Source organism: Homo sapiens, chromosome 18 (assembly GCF_000001405.40).
Source record: "Homo sapiens chromosome 18, GRCh38.p14 Primary Assembly".
Taxonomy (NCBI): domain Eukaryota; kingdom Metazoa; phylum Chordata; class Mammalia; order Primates; family Hominidae; genus Homo; species Homo sapiens.
Window position 1 is genome coordinate 3,536,348 of NC_000018.10, and position 24,730 is coordinate 3,561,077.

The 24,730-nt window shown below is 40.3% G+C and overlaps 1 protein-coding gene across 33 annotated transcripts in view, besides 1 other annotated feature; it reads right to left on the reverse strand.

The window, feature by feature from the left end:
• Positions 1-24,730, reverse strand: part of DLGAP1 (DLG associated protein 1) — a 959,276-nt gene that overhangs the window by 40,316 nt on the left and 894,230 nt on the right. The window lies entirely within an intron of this gene.
• Positions 18,532-19,082: an enhancer, noted in NCBI's record as "NANOG-H3K27ac hESC enhancer chr18:3554877-3555427 (GRCh37/hg19 assembly coordinates)". NCBI's record gives its function as "activates a minimal SCP1, AML or CMV promoter by ChIP-STARR-seq in primed H9 embryonic stem cells {active_cell/tissue: H9 hESC(primed)}" and the evidence as "EXISTENCE:reporter gene assay evidence [ECO:0000049][PMID:30033119]".

The following is a 24,730-nucleotide window of genomic DNA, read 5'->3' on the forward strand; positions in this document are numbered from 1 at the left end:
CGAATAGCTGGGAGTACAGGCATGCACCACCATGCCCATCTAATTTTTGTATTTTTAGTAGAGTCGGGGTTTTGCCAAGTTGGCCAGGCTGGTCTCGAACTCCTGACCTCAGGTGATCTGCCTGCCTCTGCCTCCCAAAGTGCTGGGATTACAAGGTGTGAGCCAACACACCCAGCCCAAACTGAGGTTTCAATAATTACCTCTTAAAATTAAAACTCATTTGCCTGGTAAAGGTTTACCTTTCTCTTAGTCATACAGGTACAAAGCCTTGGGCGCAAACATCAGCTTATAGTTCTCTATTAGGGTTCTGTATTTCTGCCCTCTCCTGTGCCTTTAATTTTCTTTTCACAGTTCTAGCGAGGTGATGAAAGACACCTTGTTCACAGATTAAGGCTGAGCATTTTACATGGATGTCCATGAGATCAGTGTTTCTCAACCAAAGCGCCCTATATATCTCTGGCTGAACCCTGCGATGAAGGGGAGAACATGGGGAAGGTGGGAGGGGAGAGACACGAGGAGAGAAGCAAGGAACTCTTTCTCAGATGAGGGGCAAGGAAGGCGTGGGCCTGATGTCATTTAAGACATACAAAAAGAGCTTTGCTGCCTCTGGAGAAGACAGGAAACAATGACGGAATATAAGTCCACTGAAGATAGCACCATGTGTCTGTTACGATGCCCTGTATGTCTTTTTTTTTTAAAGTCGCTTCCTGGCCTAATAGTTTACTTATTTTTTATTATGATAAAATATACATAACATACAATTTACCAGCTGAACCATTATTAAATGTACAGTTCAATGGCATTCAATACTTAATATATTCACATTGCATGTGCAACCATCGCCACCATCCATGTCAACTTTCTCATCTTTTCCAACTGAAACTGTGCACCCATGAAATGCTAACTCTCCATTTCCTCCTCCCCCTGGCCCCAGGCAGCCATCATTCCACTTTCTGTGTCTATGAGTCTGACTACTCTAGGTACCTCTTATTGGTGGAATCATGTAGTATTTATTTGTCTTTTTGTGACTGGCTTTTTAAATTCAACAGAACATCTTCAAAGTTTCATCCATGTTGTAACATATGTCAGAATTTCCTTCCTTTTTAAGGCTGAATAGTATTCCCATTGTATGTATTTACCATATTTTGCTTACCCGTTCTTCCACTGATGGCCACTTAAGTTGCTTTCACCTTTTGGCTATTGTGAATAATGCTGCTATGAACATGGGTATACAGATAACTCTTTGAGTCACTGATTTCAATTATTTTGAATATATATCCCGAGGTAGAACTACTGAGTCACATGGTAATTCTGTTTTTAATTTTTTGAGGAACAACCCTAATATTTTCCATAGTGGCTACACCATTTTGCATTCCCATCAACAGTGCACCAGGATTCCTATTTCTCCACATTCTCATCAACATTTGTTATTTTCTGTTTTTTGACAGAATGTGTGTTCTGTGATTTCTGTGTTTTTGAATGTGTGAGGTGGTACATTTCTTTGAGTAGCTCATGATTGTGCCATTTTAAGATAGTTTGTTGGCCAGTTGATTTTCAACTGTTTCATATTCAGTAGTGCCAGCCTTAAACAATAGTGCACTAAACAATATTTATACAACACTAAATACACCAGATTATGTGGGATTTTAAAAAACTATCCTGGACTATGCTCTTGAAGCCAATAAAAACTAATATTCTAGTCCATCAAAAATAAAGAATGACCAGAACAATACAGACAAGTAGTTATTTGCAAGACTGTAGAAAGACTAAGAGTCACAAAAAGGAAGAGTCATCTCAATAAATCAATTTTTTCTCTAGAGAATAAAAGTCAAGAAAAAAAGTGGCTAAGGTATTGATCTGTGTCAGTTATTAAGATGGCCAAAATGACCAAATACGTTGTGATTCTGGCCATCCATTTTACGAAGATAAACTAGCCAAAGTTGACCCATTTGCTGTTTTCAAAAAATCAATTCTGATGAAGTTATCCAACCCAGTCACTTTTGTAAGCTCTTAACTCTCAAATGAGCCAAAAAAAAAAAAGAAAGAAAAAGAAAAAAAAAATCACATAGTGTGAAAATCTGAATGCAATGTTACAAGTCTCTTGTGCTAGCAATGAAAGAAAGAACAATTTTGCGAAAGTGGTTCTTCCAACAACCACTCATTTCTTGGCTGCAGTAGGCTATTTCTGCATTCTTCCCGTTCATCCCCAAAATGTTAACTGTCATCTGAAGCTAAGCTTTCTCTCCAGCTGCATATGTGTGAATTGGATGACTCTCCTTGCAAACAGTTGACATTTTGGCTGTTCTGCTAACATGAAATCCCAACTATGAAAACATTAGCCTCCACGCTCCAAGATCCTGTATTGCCAGAGGCATTACATTTCCAAACTTAAAGAAGTACTAGTCCCTCATTGTTTTCAATCAGAGCAAACTGCCACAGCCAGAATCTGTTCCACATATAAAACAGAATGACCTACTTTCCTGTGCCTCTGTTTTTATCTACACAGAACTGTACTACCCGCATTCCTAACAGCCATCTCCTGGCTATGGATCTTGCAAAGGATCCACCTTCTTAGAAAAATTACTTGGCAGTAGATTAATAGAAGTTTGCAGTTTGCAGTGTAGTCACTCAGAAAGAAAAGTTAAGTAAAATTAAAATGGTTTGGGATTAAAAGCGGCGCCTTTGAACTCAGGCAGCCCTGTCCAACCTGCTAGTTTCTATCAATTAAGTTCCTTAAGCAAGTGCTTTCTTCTACTCAGAGCTTTCAAAGAATGTTCTGCTCTACAAAATGATTTATGTCTTTCATAAGCAAAGTTCCTTTTGGGTGAAGAGTGCAGTCAAGTTGTTATTGTTTTTCTGCAATTTTGATAGGAACACAAAATGAGGTCCCTAGATTAATTTCTTTATTTTTTGAAAGAATTGATCAGTTCCTCGTTGATGATATCAACCCAAAAGCTGAACCCAGTGGCTTGCTGTTTCCCAACCCACAGTTTTCAATCTTGAAGCTTCCTTGGCTCTTCATGCCCCTGCAGGCACAGTGTGTAATAATTACAACTTCTGAAAAATGCTGGCCAATATTCTGGCCCAAGAAGCAGAAAACCATGAAAGCAAAGACTGGATCAACCAGTATGGAACACAATACTCTGTCTGTTCTGAATAGCCAGAAGAAAGTCACTTGTTAGCATTCACTTCTGCTGTTGCTTTATGTTCCTTCTATGAAACAAGTTTATATTTCTAACTAGAGGAGTTTCTACCCTCTCCCACTTCCTACAACTTTTCTGTACAGCAAGTTACAAATCAAAACATATATGGGTAAACTGAAGAGGTTCCATTCTTGTCCCCCTGTCTGATAGAGTTGCAGTTAAACAAAAGAAATTGTGCACAAAAACTAAGCACAGTCATTATCTTTATGACATCCATGCTTTGGAACTACAAGACACTCAACTGATGAGACTCAAGTCATGAACTTATTTTTAGGAGAGTAGCTTAGTCTTTCCATCATAGAATCCCCTGGCCTCTGCTTAGCGTCTTTATCCCTCTCATTCACATAATGGCTGCTTTTCAAGGCTAAGTCCAGTTTCAAAGAGAGCAATGCTAGCACTCTGCTATTCTTTCTTTCTTTGTACATGCCTTTAGACATTTTAAACTAAGCCTTCTGTCAAGGCTGAATATATGTGGGATCTGAAATGCTACTCCTAGAAAGTGCAACCATCTTGGTATTTTATGAAATGGCACCCTTTCACTGATGTAAAAACCAAGATGTCTCATTACATAAAATAAAAGACAGATCAAAATAAGGCACGGGCGTGAGGAGACCGAGATCAAGAATTCAAGCTTGGCTGGGTGCAGTGGCTCACGTCTGTAGTCCCAGCACTTCGGGAAGCCAAGGCGGGCAGATCACTTGAGGCCAGGAGTTCGAGACCAGCCTGGGCAACATGGCAAAATCCCGTCTCCACTAAAAATACAAAAATTAGCCTGACATGGTGGTACGTGGCTATAGTCCCAGCTACTCGGGAGGCTAAGGCACGAGAATGGCTTGAAGAACCCGGGAGGCAGAGGCTGCAGTAAGCCGAGATTGCACCACTGCACTCCAGTTTGGGCAACAGAGTGAGGCCCTGTGTCAAAAAAAAAAAAAAAAAAAAAAAAAAAAATTCAAGCTCCCCCAAAAGAGGTTTACTTAGGTTTACTAATTTGGATCAGCTTCCAAATTAGAATCATGCATGGGAGGGCGCAGGCATAAGCATCCCTTGTGCAAAAATTCAGGTGGGAGGAACCCTCCTACCCTCCATTTATATACGGTTAGCACTGTCCTATCACCAGATTTTAAAACTATCTCAAGACAAACATCCATCTGTTATTTCAAATCCTCTATGTTCATCATTCCTTTGCTTAAATACATCATGCTTGAAGATGTCTTTAAAGTAAAGGAAAATAGGATAGGCTTTCTATAAAAAAATTTTCTCTACCCCAAATAATTGTGATGTTTTTCTCAAATAAAATAAAGGGAGGAAATAGAAAATAATGAGAGTGGACGTGTTGTCATCTGGTAACTTCTGAGAGGGCCCAGCATGCTGCCAGCCTCTTTTTAGCACCAGCTGGGCAGGTGCTAATACCTTTGATGGGCTGTCACTATAGGAACCCTGGTTAGGAGTCTCAACAAAACATCCTTGAACTGAATGTGCCCCCAGAAGGAACTGCTTTACCTCCGCAACTGGAAGGTTAGGTCACTCCTTGGCTACTGACCCGAGGTAACTAACAAAGCATGAGCAGTCTCACTAACAATTATGTTTTACTGAGTCTTGTCAAATGGAGGCTGTAGGCTTGTAAGTCCGATGGTTTTCTTTCTGCACACTAAGTTATTTTGAAAAATACATAAAAAGGAAGAAAGAGAGAGAGAAAGAGAAGGAGGGAGGGATGGCAGAAAGAAAGAAGAAGGGAAAGAAAAGGAAAAGAAAAGAAAAAAGGAAGCTGTGAGGCTTATCAGGAGTTATGCCAAGTTTCAGGCTTTTGAAATTTGAAACGCCTGAATGCCACGCCTTTAAAACTCAGGTGTACAGTAAGGAACTATTTGGCTAGGTCATGATATTGTTAACTTGGCAAAGAAAAGAGATTACTTTTCAAGTGCAATTTCAAGGGTGGGTACTGGGCTGTGAGGTACTCCAAGGAAACTTTGAAGAGTGGGGACTGATCCAAAGCTCCTGGGTTGACAAAGAAGCAATGTTTTTTGATTGCCAAAGGTCTTTCCAAGTCTGTGGTCCCTGAACTGGCTGTCAGATGTTGCCTCAATTTTGGCTTTATGTTTTAATATCCTGCTTAGTTGAAAAGGCACAAATCACTACAAGCCCTAAAGTTTACATATTTAAGTCCCTTGCGATCAAAAGAGATCTTTTATAGTAGCTGACATTGTGCTATAAGAGAAAACAATGCTACCTTTCCACTTGCTTGTTCCACCCAGTTACGAAGGCTGTGAGCTTTGATGTGTGAAGCAAGGAAGATTTTAAAAACTCAGAATTGGGTCACTTCTGGAAATGCAAATGGAAACAGAGGCAATATTGGTGGAAAAAAAAAAAGGGGTAACAGTCCTATTCACTGAGGCATTTGTTTCTAGAGACGAGGAGTGGCTCTCATAATATGTCACCGGGGCTTTCCTTCAACACCTCTGACTCAGTCTGTGCATTCACAGATCTACTGGAATGGTAGGTGCCATTCACAGGCATATTTAATGCCAGCATTTTTTCTCTTTCACATTAAGTATGTCCTGGAGGTCTAAATGTTATGTGTAATGTATAAAAGGTATACTAGGAGAGAAGGAGGTTGCTCCACCAACAGAAGATCAGAAAGAGCAGAAACTTTTATGCAAATCATCAAAATACGCATCTGCTCCCATTTCCACCCCACTGATGTAAATGAAAAGATCCTGGCTTTCCCTTTAGGTATACACACCTCTGAACACACAAAGCTTGCTCTAGACATTCACTATTAGTCAATTTCACCTGTTTATTAAAAATTGATAAGGCTGGAGAGTTGATGAGGCAGAAAAAGAGGCCACAGAGTAGTTTGCCATCCCTTTTTCTAGGAAAAGTGTTCTCTTCTGATTTTCTGGATGCTGAAGGAAAAGAGTTCTCGCAGCAACACTGAATTCCACTTGGATGATCTCTAAAGATTTCAGACAGTGGATAAATCATTTGTAAAGGCACAGATGAAAATATTAAGTATACATACACCAGAAAAATAACATCCTGGAATTCGCTTTCCAGAACATTGTTATGAGACCAGTAGCTTCTTTGCATACCCCCAAGAATGACAGTTGTCACTTGTCAGTTTGACACTGTCAGTAAGGAACTAAGGAGTATACAATTGCAAAGTTTCTGCCTCCCCTTAACACTTTCAGTTGTGAAGATGGGCGATGATTGCTTTATAAATTATTACAAATTACATCAGAAATATCTCACTTTAGGAAACGTAGCCGAGTTGGAATGGAGGCAGGAAGCCAGAACCTGTACCACACACTTATTCACACTTATCTCTTGTTTCTGAAGTGGAGATTATGACAGCAATATAGCTACCTGGGAACTATAGTAATAAGCAGAAAGGCAAAATCCAGGACATAGGTCCTAAACTTCAACTAGGAGTCTCTATCTATATGTAACACAACCCTAAAGTTGAGGAAACACTGATGGTGTTGAATCAGAGAACTTACACCAAAAAATGTTATTGTTGTTAATAGTAGTCAACTCCCAAATTTTAGAGACAGAGAGGTAAAGCGACTTTCAATCTGGATCTCTAAACTAGAATACTCTTTTGTTCCCATGACTCCAATTTTTTTTTTTTTTTTTTTTTTGAGACGGAGTCTCGCTTTGTCACCCAGGCTGGAGTGGAGTGGTGTGATCTCGGCTCACTGCAAGCTCCGCCTCCCGCGTTCACGCCATTCTCCTGCCTCAGCCTCCCCCTTAGATGGGACTACAGGCGCCCACCACCACGCCTGGCTATTTTTTTGTATTTTTAGACGGGGTTTCACCCTGTTAGCCAGGATGGTCTCGATCTCCTGACCTCGTGATCCACCCACCTCGGCCTCCCAAAGTGCTGGGATTACAGGTGTGAGCCACCTCATCCGGCCCCATGACTCCAATATTTTTCCAATACATTCCAAGACCTTCAAAGCCAGAGAGTAGTGCTAAATAACAGGGCTTGCCTTACTTACATATAGGCCAGATAAAACCTATATGGACGACTTCTGTGCATGGCAATGATGGAGTAAGAATGACTGAACTTACTATATTATCTGAAACAACTAAAAACCTGGCAAAATATATGAAACAACTGTTTCCAAGACATTTGATATCAGACAATGAAGAACAGTGATCACTGAGATATGGGAAACAAATGGGGCCTTTGACTGACTGGAGCGAGTTTCCAGGGAGTGGTCCCCATGGGGAGTCGGCAGTCTCCCTGACTAATGAGACATTGCTAGGGGTACGAGGAGGACAAGGCAGCTGGAATTTGCATGGCAGTGTATGGAAGAGGAGAGAACTGCACAGAGTGAAGGTCTGAGATCTGCACGGGTCCCAATAGCATATTCACCTAAGTACTGTTCAATGCATGACTATCCAAGACTGGGATATCTTTATTCCTCTTTAGAAAACAAACAAACAAACAAACAAAAACATAGCCATTAATCTAGAGTGCTGTATGTGGCAAAAATATCTTTTTTAAATGAAGACAAAATAAGGACTTTTTTATATACACAGAAGCTGAAAGTAGGCCGGGCACGGTGGCTCACGCCTGTAATCCCAACACCCGGGGAGGCTGAGGTGGGTGGATCACCTGAGGTCAGGAATTCAAGACCAGCCTGGCCAACATGGCGAAACCTGTCTCTACTAAAAACACAAATCTTAGCCAGGTGTGGTGGCATGTGCTTGCAGTCCCAGGTACTTGGGAGGCTGAGGCGCGAGATTGCTTGAATCCGGGAGGTGGAGGTTGTGGTGAGCTGAGATTGTGCCACTGCACTCCAGCATGGGCGAAAAAGCGAGACTCCATCTCAGAAAAATAAATAAATAAATAAAAAGAAGCTGAAAGTATTCATCGCCAGCAGTCATGCCCTATAAGAAAGGTTTAAAATACTTTCTATTTTCCCTTTTGATTTTTTTCTTTAACCCATGGGCTACTTAGAAGTGTGTTACCTAGTCTCCAAAAATTTGGGGATTTTCCAAATATATTTTAGCTATTGATTTCTATTTAATTCCATTGTGGTCAGACAACGTACTTTTTCCTGAACCCTTGAAAATTTATTGAAACTTGTTTTTTGGGCCAAAATATTGTCTATCTTGTTAAATGCTCTGTGTGTACTTGGAAAAAAAAATGTGTACTTTGCTTTTATTTATTTATTTATTTATTTATTTATTTATTTTTGAGACAAGGTCTGGCACTGTCGCTTAGGCTGGAATGCAGTGGCTCCATCTCAGCTCACTGCAACCTCTGCCTCCCTGGTCTCAAGGGATCCTCCTACCTCAACCTCCTGTGTAGCTGAGACTACAGGTGCAGTGTATACAGTTCAATAAATTTTGCCCTCTATTAAATTCTATTTTGTATATATACAACAATAAAGTCATTTTAATTTCTCCATTAAAAAAATAAATGGAGGCCAGGCACAGTGGCTCATGCCTGTAATCCCAGCATTTTGGGAGGCCGAGGTGGGCAGATCACTTGAAGTCAGGAGTTCGAGACCAATCTGGCCTGGCCAACACGGTGAAACTCTGTCTCTACTAATAATATAAAAATTAGCCAGGAGTGGTGGCAGATGCCTATAATCCCAGCTACTCTGGAGGCCAAGGCAGGAGAATCAGTCAAACCCAGGAGGTGGAGGCTGCAGTGAGCCGAGATCACGCCACTGCACTGCAGCCTGGGTGACAGAGCAAAACCCCGTCTCCAAAACAAAAAGAAAAAAAAAAGAAATGGAATCATAGAAAGATAATTAGCCCCAAAGAAGTATTTTTCAAATACTTCATACTTTTCCAAGTATTTCATCAAAAGATGAAAAATAGGAAGAGATATGAATAATAAATACAATACGGCATACTTAAACCCAAACATATCAACAGTCAGTCACATTAAATGTAAATGGTCTAATCACTCCAATTTAAAGGAAGAGGTTGTAAGATTGAAATAAAAAGCGAAACCAACTATATATTGCCTATGAAAAACCTACTTTAAAAATAGAGAAATAAATAGGCCGGGAGCCGTGGCTTATACCTATAATCTCAGCACTTTGGGAAGCTGAGGTGGGCAGATCACTTGAGGCCAGGAGTTCGAGACCAGCCTGGCCAACATGGTGAAACTCTGTCTCTACTAAAATTACAAAAACTAAACTAAACTAAAATAAATAAAAATAGAGACGTAAATAGTTTAAAGTAAAAGGATGAAAAAAGATACATGGTAATACTAATGAAAAGAAAGCTGGATTGGTTGTCTTAATATCAGACTAGGTAGGTTTGAGATCCAAAAATATTACCAGGTAGGAAACAGGATGTTTTCTAATGATAAAGAGATCAATTCATCAAAAGACCATAATATTCCTAAACATTTATGAGTTTAATAAAGAATTTCTTAATACATAAAGCAAGCACTGATAGAACTACTAGAAGAAATAGACAAATTCACAATTAGAGTCAGATATTTCAACAATACTTTCTCGATAATAGATTAAAAAACATCTAGACAGAAAATTAGAGAATATAGAAGAATTCAGCAGCTATACTGACCTTATTGGCATTTATAGAGCACTCCACTGAAAAACAGGCCAGGCTTGGTGGCTCACGCCTGTAACCTCAGCAGTTGGGAAGCTGAGGCAAGCAGGTTGTCTGAGCCCAGGAGTTTGAGACCAGTCTGGGCAACATGGTGAAACGCCTTCGCTACAAAAATTAGTCGAGCATGGTGGCATGCACCTGTAGTCCCAGCTACACCGGAGACTGAGGTGGGAGGATCCCTTGAGACCAGGGAGGAAGAGGTTGCAGTGAGCCAAGATAGAGCCACTGCACTCCAGCCTTGGTGACAGTGCCAAACCTTGTCTCAAAAAAAAAAAAAAAAAGCAAAGTACACATTTTTTTTCCTAGTACACACAGAGCATTTAACAAGATAGACTATATTTTGGCCCAAAAAACAAGTTTCGATAAATTTTCAAGGGTTCAAGAAAAAGTATGTTGTCTGACCACAATGGAATTAAATAGACAATAGCTAAAAAATATTTGGAAAATCCTCAAATTTTTGGAGACTAGGTAACACACTTCTAAGTAGCCCATGGGTTAAAGAAAAAAAAAATCAAAAAGGAAAATAGAAAGTATTTCAAACCGAATGAAAAAGAAAAAACAATGTATCAAAATTTGTAGGATATAGTTAAAGCAGTAGACACCATTAGTCAAAAAGAATTAAGGTTTCAAATCAATGCTCAGCTTCCACCTTAAACTAAAAATAGAAGAGCGAATGCAGCTCAAGGTAAACAGAATAAAGGAAATTATAAGATAAAAGCAGAAATCAATGAAGGAGTAAACAGAAAAACTATACAGAAGAATAAAGAAATAAAAAGCTGGTTCTTTTCAAAAGCTAATAAAATTGATAATCTTTTAGCAGACAGATAAAAAAAAAAAAAAGGACACATATTACCAATATCAGAAATGAGAGCCGGGCGCGGTGGCTCACGCCTGTAATCCCAGCACTTTGAGAGGCCGTGGCAGGTGGATCACGAGGTCAGGAGATCGAGACCATCCTGGCTAACAGGGTGAAACCCCGTCTCTACTAAAAATACAAAAAATTAGCCAGGCGTGGTGGCGGGCGCCGGTAGTCCCAGCTACTCGGGAGGCTGAGGCAGGAGAATGGCTTGAACCCCCGGGGGCGGAGCCTGCAGCAAGCCGAGATCGCGCCACTGCACTCCAGCCTGGGCAATAGAGCGAGACTCCGTCTCAAAAAAAAAAAAAAAAAAAAAAGAATGGGAGAAAATGTTTCCAAATCATATATTAATAAGGATCTAGTATCCAGAATGTATAAAGAACTCTTAAAACACTCAACAACAAAAAGACAAACAACCCAATTAAATAACCCAATTAAAAAATAGGCATACGACATGACAAGACATTTCTCCAAAGAGATAAAAATGGCCAATAGAGACATGAAAAGACAATCAACATCATTAGTCATTACAGATATATAGATCCACACCACAATGACATGCCACTTCATACCCAATAGGATAGCCATAAGGGAAAAAATTTAAAGAGGAAAGTAAGTGTTGGCCAGTTTGTGGAGAAACTGGAACCCTCATACATTGTTGGTGGGGATGGTAAAACGGTGCAGCCACTGTGGAACGAATTCCTATATTAACTAGTAATTCTATTCTTAGGTATATATCAAAAAGAATTTAAAACAGATGTTCAAAGACTTGTACATGAATGTTCATAGCAGCTCTATTCATGATGGATAAATAGATGAAAGATTTTTAAAAACCCAAATATCCATAAACAGATGAATGAATAAACAAAATGTGGTATATCTAGGCAATTGGATATTATTCACTCATAAAAAGGAATTAAGTACTAACACATGCTACAACATGGATGAACCTCAAAAGCATCACACTAAATGAAGGAGGCTACACACAAAAGGCCACATATTGTATGATTCAATTTATAAGAAATATCTAGAAGAGGCAAGTCCATAGAGACAGCAAACCGATTAGCAGTTACAGAGACTGGGAGGAGAAAGGAATGCAGTGAGTACTAATGGGTATGAGATTTCTGTTGGTGATGATCAAAATATTTTGGAACTAAGTCGTGATGATGGTTGTACAATGTTGTAAATGTAGTTAATGCCACTGAATTGTATACCTTAAAATGGTTTAAATGGTAAATTTTGTGTTATATGTATCTTAGTATAATTTTTCTAAAAAAAAATCAGCAATTCAATTCATCATATTAACAGTCTAAAAATGAAAAATTTTTTAACATCTCAATAGATGTCAAAGAAGCATTTGACAAAATCCAACATCTGTTCCTGATCATAATCCTCAACAAACTAGGAAAAGAAAGGAACTTCCTCAAGTAAATAAAAAGGCATCTATAAAAAGAAAAAAAAAAAAAACCTAAAGCTAGCCGGGCACAGTGGCTCATGCCCATAATCCAGCACTTTGGGAGACTGAGGGGGGTGTGGATTGCTTTTAGCTGAGGAGTTCAAGCTCAGCCTGTGCAACATGGTGAAACCCCGTTTCTACAAAAAATACAAAAATTAGCTGGGCGTGGTGGTACACCTCGGATCGCGCCACTGCACATCATACTTAAAGGTGAAAAACTACATATTTTCATCTAAGATCAGTAACAAGGCAAGGATGTCCATATTCATGACTTCTACTCAACATTGCACTAGGCCAGGTGCAGTGGTTCAGGCCTGTAATTCCAGCACTTTTGGAGGTGGAGACAGGTGGATTGCTTGAGCCCAGAGGTTTGAGACTAGCCTGGCAAACATGGCGAAACCCCCTCTCTACTAAAAATACAAAAATTAGCTGGGTGTGCTGGCACATGCCTGTAATCCCAGCTACTTGGGAGGCTGAGGCAGGGGAATTGCTTGAACCTGGGAGTGGGAGGTGGCAGTAAGCCAAGATTGCGCCACTGCACACTCCAGCCCGGGCGACAGGGCGAGACTCCATCTCGAAGAAAAAAGAATATTTTTTAAATGTCTGGATTATTTCATTTCAGGAAATTTTATCACAGTTATATATGCACAGTTTTAAAATATCAAATGGTTCTAAAAGGCTGGTTATGAAAAATAGAAATGCCTGGCCCAATTATAGAGCAATTTTCTACTTCAGAGGCAGCCACTTTTAAACACTATTTCTAAATAACAAAAATAAATCTTTACACATTTTTTAGTGTCTGTCCTTAGGAATGCTGAAGATTTAGATTTCTCTCACCTTTCCAACACTCCTATTCCTCACTTTCTCTCTCTCTCTTTTTTTTTTTTTGAAAAGGAGTCTCACTCTGTTGCCCAGGCTGGAGTGCAGTGGCGCAATCTCGGCTCACTGCAACCTCCGCCTCCCAGGTTCAAGGGATTCTCCTGCCTCAGCCTCCTGAGTAGCTGGGATTACAGGCACGTGTCACCACACCCAGCTAATTTTTGTATTTTTAGTAGAGACAGGGTTTCAGCGTGTTGGTCAGGCTGATCTCGAAATCCTGACCTCGTGATCCACCCGCCTCGGCCTCCCAAAGTTTTGGGATCACAGGCGTGAGCCACCACCCCTGGCCTCTTTTTCTTACACACACACATACATGCACTTCCGGTCTGTCCCTGTATTTTTCCATTCCCCTGATATAGCTGTATTATTAATTTGGATAACTATATTCAGAACTTGTTTTTTATGACTATATTGTTATGACCAGGAAATATCATTCACAACTGAATATGTGTTACAGGCCAAATTGTGGGCCCCTTCCCTAAATTCATATGTTGAAGTCCTAACACCTAGTATCTTAGTATGTGACTGTATTTGGAGATAGGACCTTTATTTAATTAATTAATTTATTTATTATTTATTTACTTATTTTTAAGATGGAGTCTCGCTCTGTTGCCCAGGCTGGAGTGCAGTGGCACAATCTTGGCTCACCACAACCTCCACCTTTCGGGTTCAAGCGATTTTCCTGCCTCATCCTCCCAAGTAGCTGAGACTACAGGTGCATGCCACCATGCCCGGCTAATTTTTGTATTTTTAGTAGAGACGGGGTTTCACCATGTTGGCCAGGCTGGTCTCGAACTCCTGACCTCGTGATCCACCTGCCTCGGCCTCCCAAAGTGCTGGAGTTACAGGCGTGAGCCACCACGCCCGGCCAGAGCCTTTATTTTTAATTTGTATTTTTATTTGAGACAGGGTATCACTGTGTCACCTAGGCTGCAGTGCAGTGGCACAATCACGGCTCACTGCAGCCTCAACTTCCTGAGCTCAAGCCATCCTCCTACCTCAGCCTCCCGAGTAGCTGGGACTACAGGCACATGCCACCACGCCCAGCTAATTTTTTTTATTTTTTAAGAGAGAGGGTCTGGCTATTTTGCTTAGGCTGGTCTGGAACTCCTAGACTCAAGCAATCATCCTGCCTCAGCCTCCCTAAGAGTTGGGATTACAGGTGTGAACCACTGCACCTGGCCTTAGGGCCTTTAAACAGGTGATTGAGGCCCCAAGGGTGGGCTCTAATCCAGTATGACTGGTGTCCTTATAAAAACAGGAGATTAGGACACAGACACACACAGAGGAGAGACGACATGAAGACACAGGGAGAAGATGGCCATTTGCAAGCCAGGGAGAGAGACCACATGAGAAATCAACACTGCTGACATCTTGATCCAGAACCAGACCCTTTTTTTTTTTTTTTTTTTTTTTGTAAGACAGAGTCTCACTCTGTCGCCCAGGCTGGAGTGCAGTGGCTCAATCTCAGCTCACTACAACTTCTGCCTCCTGGGCTCAAGTGATTCTACTGCCTCAGTCTTCCGAGTAGCTAGGATTACAGGGGCCCACCACCACGCCTGGCTAATTTTTGTATTTTTAGTAGAGACAGGGTTTCACCATGTTGGCCAGGCTGGTCTCAAACTCCTGACCTCAGGTGATCCACCACCTAGGCCTCCCAAAGTGCTGGGATTACAGGCGTGAGCCACCACGTCCAGCCCACCAGAACCAGACTTATGCCTCTAGCCTCCAAACTGGGAGAAAATAAATTTCTGTTGTTTAGGACATCAGTTTGTTGTATTTTGTTATGGCAGCCCAAACTGACTAATATTATATACATATATATATATATATATACACATACATATAAATGCTTTTTTTCTGAAATTTATCTTCCAAGTCCTTTTGAATTTTTCAGTTCTGCTACTATTTCTTTTTTTCTTTTTTTGTAAACGAAGTCTTGCTCTGACACCCAGGCTGGAATGTAGTGGTGGTCTTGCCTCACTGCAACCTCCACCTCCCAGGTTCCACGATTCCCCTGCCTCAGGCTCCTGAGTAGCTGGGATTACAGGTGCCCACCATCATGACCAGCTAATTTTTGTATTTTTAGTAGAGACAAGGTTTCACCATGTTGGCCAGACTGGTCTTGAACTTCTGACCTCAGGTGATCTGCCCTCCTGGCTTCCCAAAGTGCTGGGATTACAGGTGTGTACCACTATGCCCAGCCACAGTTCCACTATTATTTCTATGAACACTTTTCTTTTCTTTCTTTCTTTTTCTTTTTCTTTCTTTCTTTCTTTTTCTTTCTTTCTTTCCTTCCTTTCTCTCTCTCTTTGTCTCTTTCCTTCTTTCTTTTCCCTCCCCTCCCTCCCTCCCTCCCTCCCTCCCTCCCTCCCTCCCTCCCTTCCTTCCTTCCTTCCTTCCTTCCTTCCTTCCTTCCTTCCTTCCTTCTTTCCTTCCTTTTTTTCTTTCTTTTGAGACAGGGTCTCACTCTGATACCCAGGCTGGAGTGCAGTGGCACAATCTCAGCTCACTGCACCCTCTGCCTCCTAGGCTCAAGGGATCCTCCCACCTCAGCCTCCCAAGTAGCTGGGACTACAGGCAGCCGCCATCACACTTGGCTAATTTATTTTTAAATTGTTTTTTTTTTTCTTTCTTTTTATTTTTTGTAGATAGAGGGTCTCACTATGTTGCCTAGACTGGTCTTGAACTCCTGGGCCCAAGCAGTCCTCCTGCCTTGGCCTCCTAAAGACCTGGGATTAGGCATGAGCTACCACTCCTAGCAAGAGCACTTTTCACTTCTGCCCCTTCCCTCATCTCTTCCAGGTGGATAAGAAGATTCTTTGAGGAAGACCTTGACAACTTCCACATCCCTCATGGATGCTTCTTTACTCACCTTTCCTCTCTTTTCTCTCAAAAATAACTTTTTAATTTTCTGAATGTTCCTGAACAATTTTTGTTTCTAGTTTTCTGGCTCTTGTCTTATCTCCCTGAGTTTGCTGATCCTTGTCTTCTCATTCTTGAGAAGCACACTAAACCCAGCTTAGAAGTCTATGCTTTTGGGAAGAGCTTATCCTCTCTAATCCTCACTGTAGGGTGATCTGGCTGGGCTTTCATCTTGCAAAATCCCGGATGTCAGCATCTTCTGGTCTTTGGGCTCAGAAGGGTCAGCCCTCCACAATGGACTCTGCCACACTGCCATGTAGAGGGTTCTGTGCCTTGCTGTCGGGACCCTGGGGGCTGAGCGAGCCTAAGAAGGCTCAGGGCAGTGTGCCTCAACACTGTTTGTATATCTTCACTTAATCCTCCTATTTTCAGTATAGTCACCCTGCTCTCAACTATGCTGGTCTCCTCCAGGCCAGAGACCCTTAGTTTTAGCCTCTGAAGAAGAGACACCCTCAGTCTCTGTCAGGGTAAGGAAGGACTGTCACTTGGCTCCGCAGATTCAAGGACTTTTTAGCTCCATCTTCATCCCCGCTTTCAGAGCGCCCAATGCCACCCATCCACATGCATTTTGTGGGTTCTTAAATTTAAATGGGATTACATCTTGGATTCCTGCACTACTGGCTTTCGATTCAGCTTTCTCTGGTCTGCCAAATCGGTTGTCACTTCCATATCTGCTTTCTAGCTTGCTAAATTTTGCTGTTTTTTTTTTTCTCTCTTGTTCTCTTCCTCCTTGGGAGTTAATGCCAAAACAAACAAAAATTCCTTTTATTGTCATTTAGTTTCAGAAGGCCTCCAAGATACATGTGTATCCTTTTTTTTCACCATCTTTAAACAGAAATCATCTAAAAGTAATGTTGATAATCCGGCAGAAGGAGAAAGGGGCAGAAATTATGGTCCTCCTATGAATTTGAGTATTGTGCATTCATTAAAAGAGGTGTTTGCTATGAATTTTCAATAGTAAAAAGAAAACTTTTTAAATAATGTTTGTTGATTTTAAAGATGTTGTAAGACTATACATAGGATTATTCCACCAACTCTTTAAATGTTCGTGGAAAAAGTGTGGGTAAAAATATACTTATTTATTTGTTCATGGTTAATGGATAGGATTATGGGCGACTTTATTTTATTTCTGTAATTTATACATTTTTACAATGTAAATACTACTTTGTTTTTCTTATCATTAATTGCATTGTTCAATAATATGTAATTACTGTGGAAAAGGTAGATAATACGTAAAAAGAAGATACATACACACATAGTTTTTTTGTTTTTTGTTTGTTTGTTTGAGACAGAGTCTCACTCTGTCGCCCAGGATGGAGTGCAATTGCGTGATCTCAGTTCACTGCAACCTCCGTCTTCCGGGTTCAAGCAGTTCTCCTGCCTCAGCCTCCCGAGTAGCTGGGATTACAGATGTGCGCCATCATGCCTGGCTAATTTTTGTATTTTTAGTAGAGACAGGGTTTCACCATGTTGGCCAGGTGGTCTCAAATTCTTGACCTCAGGTGATCCACCCACCTCGGTCCCCCAATGTGCTGGGATTACAAGCGTGAGCCACCACGCCCGGCCCACACATAGTTTTTTAAAAAATTACTCCAAAGCCTATCAAAATTAAAAACTGTTAATATGTTAAGATATGTTTTCTTCCAAGTAAATTTGCATACTACTTTTGTAATGAAAACAGTAATATTCTTCCTCTTTGTGTCCACTGCTGGAGTCTTAGAGTCACTAATGGGCTAATGTAAGAAAGTCTAGTTTGAAGCCACTGTTAAAATAGAATTGTTATTTGGAAGGAAATGGGAGATTCCTGGGAACCTCTTAGCTTTCTCACCTAAGTCAACAGAAAGGATTGGCTTACTAGATTTGCTAATTATCAGCCTGAAAGACAAAAGGACCTCATACAAATTCCTGGGGACCATCAAAAGGATGAGAGACAATTGGGACATGATGCTGGAGACTTCTGCATGGGGCCACTGGCGGAGGTGAGTGCCCCTTGGGGAGATGTTGCCAAGATTTGCCTGCTTTACTTAGGATCAGTCCTGCATATCAGCAAACACATGCTATGTGTGTCCTATAGAGCGGTACCACTAGCTGACCTGTGAAACAGGAATTGGGGGAAAACAGCTAATGTTTGATGAAGATGATGGGTTTCTGCACTGGCTTGAGAGGAGCAGTCTCCTTTCAAAACGACATACGCATTCATTATCCCTGGCTTCCTGCTGCCACGGCATTTAAACTAGTGATCTTCAGACAGCATTCCTCTGTCCACGGTCCTCACCGCGAGGCAGCCCCAGAGAATGGACAATGTGCATTTGCGATCCATGGCATTTTGAGAATGTCATGGTGGCCTGCAAATGTAACAGGGATATTTGTGATGCTCCATTTCAACTCCTGTTATTGAAGCAGATAGGGCTACCTGGTGCATTTTAGTTTTTACTAATGAGTTTTTAACTTCTTTTTGTTTTGATTTGGAACACTGAAAACCACACTAAATTTAGAAGTCTACTCCTTAATAGATCAATCAGTTAGGTGGGCCTTGCTGGGTTAGTTTTTGTTCCTAAATTATAATTGATTCAAAAGGAAATGAGTCCCTTGGCCTCTTACAAGGTCTTTTAATCATTTCTTTGCACTATCTCTTTCTCAGCTCAATTTTCTTTCTTTTTCTCACTTTTTGTTAGGTTGCTGTCTTTTATCAGTCTGTTTATTTGAAAAAGGAAGAGATAAGTTGTTAACTGGCCATTCAGTGTGAAAACAACAGCCTCACCTTTATCACCAGATAATTAAAAAAAAAATACCCCTCAGCTGTCATTAAGTAATCCCATCTGCCCGATATTGCTTTTTAAGATCCTATCTAAATGAATTACAACCAGCAAAATCATAAAAGAATTAAGTTAGAGACAGAAGGTATTGGTAATCCCTTCTTCCTGTTTGACAATGGATTTCTTTTGGAGAGGTTGAAAACAATCATTAACATCAATTTCAATGCTTATTTACTTTACAGTGGTTAACTATAAAGTGACCTTTGAAGAAGGGTATGTTTTGGAAAGCTAAGTACTAAAATTGGCCTGCCAACCGTTTTGGGGATGAGTTTTAAATATTTTACTCAGTTTACTGAGGAACTGACCATTCTACAAACTTCAATAATTCAAATAAAGTTCAACTTTAAAAAATAATGATAAAAATGGCTCGTATAAAGTTTTTTAGGTTGCTACTAGGTATGACCAAACAATGCAATATTTAGCATTATTGTGGAAATGAAATTTGAGGCCGGGGGCAGTGGCTCACGTCTGTAATCCCAGCACTTTGGGAGGCCGAGGCGGGCGGATCATCTGAAGTCAGGAGTTCGAGACCAGCCTGACCAACATGGTGAAACCCCGTCTCTACTAAAAATACAAAATTAGCCGGGTGTAGTGGCGTGTGCCTATAATCCTAGCTACTTAGGAGGCTGAGGCAGGAGAATCGCTTGAACCCAGGAGGCGGAGGTTGCAGTGAGCCAAGATCACACCATTGGACTCTAGCCTGGGCAACAGGAGCGAAACTCCGTCTCAAAAAAAATAAATAAATAAACAAATAAATTTAAAAACCTGGAAAGATAGACTGGCTGATTGCAGGAGAAATGTTTGAAGTAAAGTAAAGGAGACGACTTTCTCCTCCTTTTTTTTGAAGAAAAGGCAGCATAATTATTATCTTGAAACTTCTTTCTTTAGAGAGATTCTATTTGAGTGCTTAATAGACTAGGAAACACGCAGAGCATTGTATATATCAGGTATTGCTCTAAAAGTTTTACATGTATTAAACAAAACACCCCAGGACAACACACTGAGGTTAATGCTATAGTCCGCTTTCCTCCAACCCCTTTTTAAAATTAATAAACTTTGTTTTTTTAGAACAGTTTTAGGCTCACAGCAAAATTGAGCACAAAGTAGGGAACTCCCATACACCCCTTCCCCCGACACACACACAGCCTCAACTGATATCCACATTTCACACTAGAGTGGCACTTTTGGTGCAGTTCAGGAACCTACACTGGCTGTCATTATCACCCAAAGTCCATGGTTTACAGTAGGGTTACTCTTGGTGTTGTACATTCTCGTATCCACCGTTGCATTATACATTCAGAATCGTTTCACTGCCCCAGACATCCTCAGCCTATTCATACCTCCTTCCTCCTAACCCCTGGCAACTAGTCATCTTTTTACTGTCTCGTTGCCTTTCCAGGGTGTCACATAGTTGGAATCATACAGTATATAGATTTTTCAGATTGGCTTGTTTCACTTAGTAATAATACGTTGACGTTTTTCCCATGTCTTTTTGTGGCTCAATAGCTTATTACTTTTAGTGCTGAATAATATTCTATTATCTGTATGCACCACAGTTTATTTATCCATTGACCTACTAAAGGACAACTTGGTTGGTTCCAAGTTTGGGTGATTAGAAATACAGGTGTTATAAATAACCACGTGCAGGATTTTGAGTGAACATAAGTTTTCAATTCATGTGGATAAATTCCAAGAAACAAAATTGCTGACTTGTATGGTAAAGAATATATTTAGTTTTGTAAGAAACTGTTGATTAGGCAAGGTAGTTCATGCCTCTAATCTCAACACGTTGGGAGGCCAAGGCATATGGATTGCTCATGTCTGATATTATAAGAGTAATTTGTGTCTTCTCTCTTAGTTAGCCTAGTTAAAGGCTTATCATTTTATTAATTTTTTCAGAGTCAGGTTTTGGTTTTGTTGATTTTTCTCTACTGATTACTATTTTCAATTTCATGATTTCTGTTATAATTTTATTTATTTCTTTTATTGTGTTTATTTTGGATTTAATTTGCTCTTCTTTTTCTAGTGTCCTATGGTGGAAGCTTAAATAATTGATGTGAAATTGTTCTTCTTTTCTAATACATGCAATCAATGCTATAACTGTCCCTCTAACCACTGCTTTTGCCTCATTCCATAAATTTTAATAAGTTGTATTTCTGCCGGGTGCGGTGGCTCACGCCTGTAATCCCAGCACTTTGGGAGGCTGAGGTTGGTGGATCACAAGGTCAGGAGTTTGACACCAGCCTGGCCAATATGGTGAAACTCCGTCTCTACTAAAAAAATATAAAAATTAGCTGGGTGTGGTGGCGTGCCCTTGTAGTCCCATCTACTCGGGAGACTGAGGCAGGAGAATCGCTTGAACTTGGGAGGCGGAGGTTGCAGTGGGCTGAGATCACACCACTGCACTCCAGCCTGGGTGACAGAGTGAGATTTCGTCTCAAAAGAAAAAAAAGTTGTATTTCCATTTATTTCAAAATATTTAGTTTCTTGAGATTTATTTGACTCATTTGTAATTTAAAGTGTGCTGTTAAATCTCAGTATTTTGGGAATTTCCAGCTATCCTTCTGTTGTTGATTTCTAGTTTAATTCTACTGTGGCCTGAGAGCAGATATGATATGATTTATAATTTTAAAAATTTGTTCATGACCAGCCTGGCCAACGTGGTGAAACCCTGTCTCTACTAAAAATACAAAAATCAGCCTGGCGTGGTGGCGGGTGCCTATAATCACAGCTACTCGGAAGGCTGAGGCAAAAGAGCTGCTTGAACCCAGGAGGCAGAGGTTGCAGTGAGCCAAGATCACACCATTGCACTCCAGCCTGGGGGACAAGAGTGAGACTTCGTCTCACAAAAAAAAAAAAATGGTTAAGATCTGTTTTATGACCCAGAATATGTTCTGCCCTATCTAGGTGAATGTTCCATATGAGCTTGAGAAGAATGTGTAATCTGTTGTTGTTGGATGAAGTAGTTTATAGAAGTTAACTATATTTAGCTGTTCAGTAGTGTTGTTGCATTCAACTGTGTGCTTACTGATGTTCTGCCTTCTTGACCTGTCCATTTCTGATAGAGAATTGTTGAAGTCTCCAATTATAATAGTAGATACATCTTTTTCTCCTTGCAGTTCTATCAGTTCAAGAACTCATGTATTTTGTAGTTTTTGTTTGTTTGTTTGTTTGTTTTGAGACTGAGTCTCACTCTGTCACCCAGGCTGAAGCGCTCTTGGCTCACTGTAACATCCACCTCCTGGATTCAAGTGACTCTCCTGCCTCAGCCTCCCGAGTAGCTGGAACCACAGGCACGTGCTATAACACCCGGCTATTTTTTGTATTTTTAGTAGAGATGGGGTTTCACCATGTTGGCCAGGCTGGTCTTGAACTCCTGACCTCAAGTGATCCGCCCACCTTGGCCTCCCAAAGTGCTAGGATTACAGGTATTAGCCACCGGGCCCAGCTAGAATTCATGTATTTTGAAACTCTGTTGGTAGGTGCATACATGTTAAAGATTTTTATGTCTTCTTTGAGAATTGACCCCTTTATCATCATCTTTATCCCTGATAATTTTCTTTGCTCTGAAGTCTGCTCTGTCTGAGATTAATATTTCTACTCCCACTTTCTTTTTATTAGTGCTAGACATTTTCTCTTTTTCCATTCCTTTACTTTTCAATCTATATCTGTCTTTATATTTAAAGTGGGTTTCTTGTAGACAACATATAGTTAAGTCTTGTTTTCTTATCCACTCTGACAATCTCTGTCTTTTAATGATATATGTAAAATACTAATGTTTAACCCTGTTCCTATTTGCCCTGAGAATACTTGCTGGTGGCACCTGCAGCTACAGCCTTTAACCCAAGATAACTTTGCCACAAAATATTTTGTTTTATTATTATTTTCACATTGCTCTAGTATATTGACTTTGGAAACAAAGACATCATCCTATTTATAGCATTCTGGTCTTAGCAGTGGTATTTCCATTTAGAAAATATAGTAATTCTCCATTGCTGAAAATGGCAAATCCTAGAAAACGTAGCATTCCTACACGTGATGTTAACATTGTCCTCAAAGAGTTGTGGCCGAGATTCATTTGATGAATCCAATTTTTCTGAAATAGATGATTCTGATGATTCAGATGATTCTGATGTTAGTTCTGTTTAGAAATAACTCGAAGAACAGTTTTTACATTTTATTTTCACATTGAAAATCAGTCATATTTGCTTCGGCCTCAAGGAGTGTGTTTATGTAAAATTAAATGAGCGCTGACAGCCAGCTGCACATTTTTTCTAAATGGGAAAAGGGTTAAACTGATTATCTAGTTGGATTAACATCTACCATATTTGTTATTATTTTCTATTTTTTCACCTTTGTTCTTTCTTCTTATTTTTGTCTTTCACATTTTTTCTGCTTTTAATAGTTTTCTATTGAGCATTTATATGATTGAATTTTCTCTCCTTTCTTAGCATACTAATTTTATTTTTCTTTTACCTCTTTTTAGTGGTTACCCTAGAGCCCTAGAGTTTGCATTATGCATTTACCACGAATCCAATCCACTTTTTTTTTTTTTTTTTTTGCGGAGTCTCGTTCTGTCGCCCAGGCTGGGGTGCAGTGGCACGATCTCAGCTCACTGCAACCTCTGCCTCCTGGGTTCAAGTGATTCTTCTCCCTCAGCCTCCCGAGTAGCTGGGACTATAGGCAAGTGCCACCGTGCCCAGCTAATTTTTGTATTTTTAATAGATACGGGGTTTCACCATATTGTCTAGGCTGGTCTTGAACTCCTGACCTCGTGATCCACCTGCCTCGGCCTCCCAAAGTGCTGGGATTACAGGCATGAGCCACTGCTCCAGGCCCCAATCCACTTTCATATAACACTATGACACTTCACAGGTTTTGCGAGTACTTTGTAATAATTAATAATTTCCAATTCCTACCACTTGTTCCTTGTATCATTGCTGCCATTCATTTCATTTATACATGAGTAAGTAAATGTACATATATTTAAATACATTTTTGCTATTAGTATTTTGAACAAACTTATCTGTTAGATCAGTTAAGAATGAGAAAAATGGGCCAGGCGCAGTGGCTCACGCCTGTAATCCCAGCACTTTGGGAGGGTGAGATGACCGGATCACGAGGTCAGGAGATCAAGACCATCCTGGCCAGCACAGTGAAACCCCGTCTCTACTAAAATTACAAAAATTAGCTGGGTGTGGTGGTGTGTGCCTGTAATCCCAGCTACTCGGTAGGCTGAGGCAGGAGAATCACTTGAACCTGGGAGGCGGAGGTTGCAGTGAGCTGAGATCGCGCCACTGCACTCCAGCCTGGGTGACAGAGCGAGACTCCGTCTCAAAAAAAAAAAAAAAAAAAAAATTAGCCAGGTGTGGTGGCGTGGGCCTGTAATCCCAGCCACTCGGGAGGCTGATGCAGGAGAATTTCTTGAACCCGGGAGGCAGAGGTTGTGGTGAGCCAATATTGTGCCACTGCACTCCAGCCTGGGTGACAGAGCAAGACTCAGTCTCAAAAAAAAAAAAAAAAAAAGCATGTTTATGTAAAATTAAATGAGCACTGGCAGCAAGCTGCACATTTTTTTCTAAATGGGAAAAGGGTTAAGCTGATTATTTATCTAGTCGGATTAACATCTACCATATTTGTTACTACTTTCTATTTTTTTGCCTTTGCTCTTTCTTCTTATTTTTGTATTTCACATTTTTTCTGCTGTTAATAATTTTCCATTGAGCATTTATGTGATTGAATTTTCTTTTCTTTCTTAGCATACTAATTTTACTTCTCTTTTACCTCTTTGTAGTGGTTACCCTAGAGTTTGCATTATGTATTTACCACGAATCCAATCCACTTTCATATAACACTGTGACACTTCACAGGTTTTGCAAGTACTTTGTAATAATTAAATATTTCCAATTCCTACCACTTATTCCTTGTATCATTGCTGCCATTCATTTCACTTATACATAAATAAATAAATGTACATGTATTTAAATACATTTTT